Here is a 3,723-nt window from a genome sequence, read left to right as displayed (position 1 = left end):
AAGAGCAAGCAAAAAACTGGCCAGTGGTCAGACAACCCAGAAGCAGAAGTGACCTCGGCAGTCCGAAAAGTTCCAGCAACCCGAGCTTATTGACCCGAGAGCAGCTTCTGGCTTGAGGAGCAGAGAGGGCCGTGGTCTTCTAGGCCATCTGGGGAGAGGCGCAGAGTGAGCTAGTGTGGGACAACTATGAACAGCTCAGCTTTGGCCAAGCACAGCCGTTCAGGGAAGACACAGTGACAGGTCAGAGCAGAGGCCACCCTTCCACTGTCCAGTTTAGAGCCAGGTTGTGCCGGGAGTCCATACCAGCCCCTCAGGCAAAGGCGGAGCTCCACTGCCTCAGTGCTCCCTTACTGAAGGAGCAGAGCCCAACCATGCCGACGCTCACCCCTGCTGACCTGCTCACCGATGCTCAAAGTCAATGGCTTCTTAAAGGACGTGTTTCCAACCCATATTCTCCTCGGCTGCCAAAGTGCCTCTGGCAGCCAATCAGCCCCTCCCTCCTGGAGGTTCTCTCCTTTTCTGACTCAAGGATCCTGCATGAGATCCAGCTTTGCTGCCATCCTGACTATTCTGCACACCTCCTCAGTGAGAAGGCTCCTCCAGCCCTCCACCCTCTCCCAGCACACTCTTACCCCCACTCACCTCCACCTCCACTTCACCCACTGCCTCCACGCCAGGGCTGACCTGCGTCCCCAGCTACCATTATTCTTCTGAGCACCAGGCCCAAATTGTCACCTGCCGTTAGACAAGGCCCTGAGATATCCTGCCACAACCTAAACCCAACATATCCTTCAGAGCTGCTCCTCAGCCTCTGCAGACTTCAGCAGCATTGTCCCATCAGTTTAACCCTTGACTCCCCTCTCTCCCTCAATCCGCCAGCGTGTCCCATTTACTTATTCTGTGTTGTCTCCTTCTTCTTATCTCACTGCCCCACTCTCTCTGGGCCCTCACTACTTCCCACTACTGTTATCTCTCCTACTAGAATTTCAACTTCTCACCCTCCTCTGTGCCAATTGAGAGATTAAAAACTCTAATACCTTCTGGGGCTAAGCAGGTGTAAATGTGTGAGGCTGTAAAACAAACGTAGAGTTGTAGGTTGTGGGAACTGGAAGGTGAAAGCTCTATTTAAAGACATTCAAATGCAAATTAAAAAAAAAAAAAAGGCTGGGCACAGTGGCTCATGCCTGTAATCCCAGTACTTTGGGAGGCCAAGGTGGGTGGATCACTTGAGGTCAGGAGTTCGAGATCAGCCTGACCAACATGGTGAAATCACATCTCTACTAAAAATAAAAAAAAAAAAAAATAGCCGGATGTGGTGGCAGGCACCCGTAGTCCCAGCTACTTGGGAGGCTGAGGCAGGAGAATCACTTGAACCCAGGAGGTGGAGGTTACAATGAGCCGAGATCGTGCCATTGCACAACAGCCTGGGCAACAAGAGCAAAACTCCGTCTGAAAAAAAAAATTTTTAATTTAAAAATTTTTTTTGAAAAGCTAACACTGTTGGCCAAACTAATAAGATTCAGCCCCTGGACAACTGCTTCTGAACCCCTAAAAAGCTGTTCTCCACTTCCCTAGTAATTTATTCATCCTAAAACCTTTGCCAGGCATCCCACTATTACTCATAATTTTTTACTAACTCCCCTTTTGCCCACAGAAGGAGAAAGGAATGATTAATGTTTGCATAGAGCTTTAAAAATTACCAAGCACTTTGCCTTACATGAAACTGACAATGCATTAATCTGGTGTTCAAAACACTTCATGGGTCTTCAGCACCCGTTTCTATGGCCAAATGCAACACCCTCCTCTCACCATGCTTTGTTTATACTCTGTATCTTCAGGATACCCTCCCTAGTCTCAGGAAACCTAATCCCACTTATTCTTGGGGCCTAACTACAGCCTCTCCTGAAAAGCCTTCCAGAAGAGCCCTGCAGGGGATAGTGCTTTTCCCTCCCATACCTTGAGCCGGTGCTGGGCACACTCCCTTATTAGAAGCTGGTGTCCTATTTCTTTCGTGCCCTTTCTCGCCTGGCTCCCTCCCGCTGCCCTGCACATCCAGGTGCCCCATCATGGGGAGCCTGTCAGAGAGGAGGCACCTACAGCCAAGAGGGGAGGACACACGAGCCAAAACCAGAGTCAAGTACCCAGATTCAGAATACCCAGCATGAGATTCAGAAAACAGTTAACATAGTAACCCCACAAACGTGGTCTGTGATGGACAATGCAAGAAAGAAGTCTTGGTGTGATTTAACAGAGGACGCTCTCCATCGGCGTCTCAAACTTTACTGTGCATTTGAGCCACCTAGAAAGCTTGTTAAAAATGTAAATTGCTACCCACAGAAGCTCTGATGCACTAGATTGGAGCCTAGGAATCTGCACTTCAACAAGCTGGCTGGTGTTTCTGATGCATAACAAAGTCCAGGCACATGCATCAAGGAACATTAAGCCCAGAATTAGAGATTTGGCTTTACCTGGCATGGGATGGTTGTTCCTAAGTTGAGAAGACCCTGACCCAGACACAGCTCATAGGGGGATTGTGTTCCCCTGTGATGGGACTTGTGTGTCTACTTAGGTCTGTTCATGAACAGTTTGGGGGTGTGACTGTTTCCCTCTCTGGCATTTGGCCGGCAGCCCCATGAGCAACACACTGCCAGACTTGCACAGGAGGGGTGTTAGCAAAGGCACCCCCTCTGCGAGCCTTGCCCAGTGCCCTGAAGGTCACCCCACACCAATGCCACTGTAATTCAGTCCCCACTACAGCAGGGTGAAACATCTGCTTCCCATGACCACAGAGCAAAGGCAGAAGCAGACAGGTTGATCATGACTGAGAGCATCTGTTTTAAACCAGGCTAACTGCAGGTTGGGCAGAAGCAGGGCAGGAGGCAGTGGTGGAGCGCTGCCCTGGCCTGGGCACCTCTTCACACCCCTCTCCCTAACCCAGTCTTTTCTTTCCTATAGTCAGCAACACTTTCCTAAGCACTGAAGGACAGATACAGGAGAATGTTAGGAAATAGACTCTAGATTATTGGGGTCTCATCAGGGCAGAAGGTAAGGGTAAAGGTGGGTGTCTCAGGGGGCACTAGTCCTAGCCATTGGGTCTGAGGATGGAAGATTAAGTGAGCCTCAGTTTCACTGCCCATGAGAAAATGTCTTGAGTTGCCCCACAGCAGTGACCTTTCTCCCAAGCTCCCAACTTCCTGCTGAAGAACTCCATGTAGAAGACTGCAGTGGACTCACACTCAGTGCATCTGCTATCAACTGACACTCCTTCCTTCTGGCCACCAGTCCCCTCCGGGTCCCCTCTCATTGATATTCTTATCCCCAGGCCCAGACGCTCTGACTCATCTTTTCGTCCTTCCTTCTTCCTTTCCTTTCCTTTCTCTTTCTCTTTCTCTTTTTATTTTTTTGAGACAGGATCTGGCTCTGTCGCCCAGTCTAGAGTGCAGTAGAAAGGACATGGCCCACTGCAGCCTCTACCTCCTGGGCTCAAGCTATCCTCCCACCTCAGCCTCCTGAGTAGTTGGGACCACAGATGTCCACCACTGTGCCCAGCTAATTTTTTAAAATAATTTTGTTGAGATGGGGGTCTCACTATGTTACCCAGGCTGGTCTTGAACTCCCCTGCTCAAGCGATCCTCCCACCTTGGCCTCCCAAAGTGCTGGGATTACAGGCATGAGCCACCATGCCCAACCTTGATTCATTTTTCTATTCCTCACTCACTTCAG

At 50.0% G+C, this 3,723-nt stretch overlaps 1 annotated feature.

Moving 5' to 3' along the window:
- Positions 2,725–3,225: an enhancer, noted in NCBI's record as "H3K4me1 hESC enhancer chr1:114621064-114621564 (GRCh37/hg19 assembly coordinates)". NCBI's record gives its function as "activates a minimal SCP1, AML or CMV promoter by ChIP-STARR-seq in naive H9 embryonic stem cells {active_cell/tissue: H9 hESC(naive)}" and the evidence as "EXISTENCE:reporter gene assay evidence [ECO:0000049][PMID:30033119]".

This window comes from Homo sapiens, chromosome 1 (genome assembly GCF_000001405.40).
Source record: "Homo sapiens chromosome 1, GRCh38.p14 Primary Assembly".
NCBI classification, from domain to species: Eukaryota; Metazoa; Chordata; class Mammalia; order Primates; family Hominidae; genus Homo; species Homo sapiens.
Note: the sequence above shows the minus strand (reverse complement) of the source record. Positions and strands in the feature narration are given on the sequence as shown.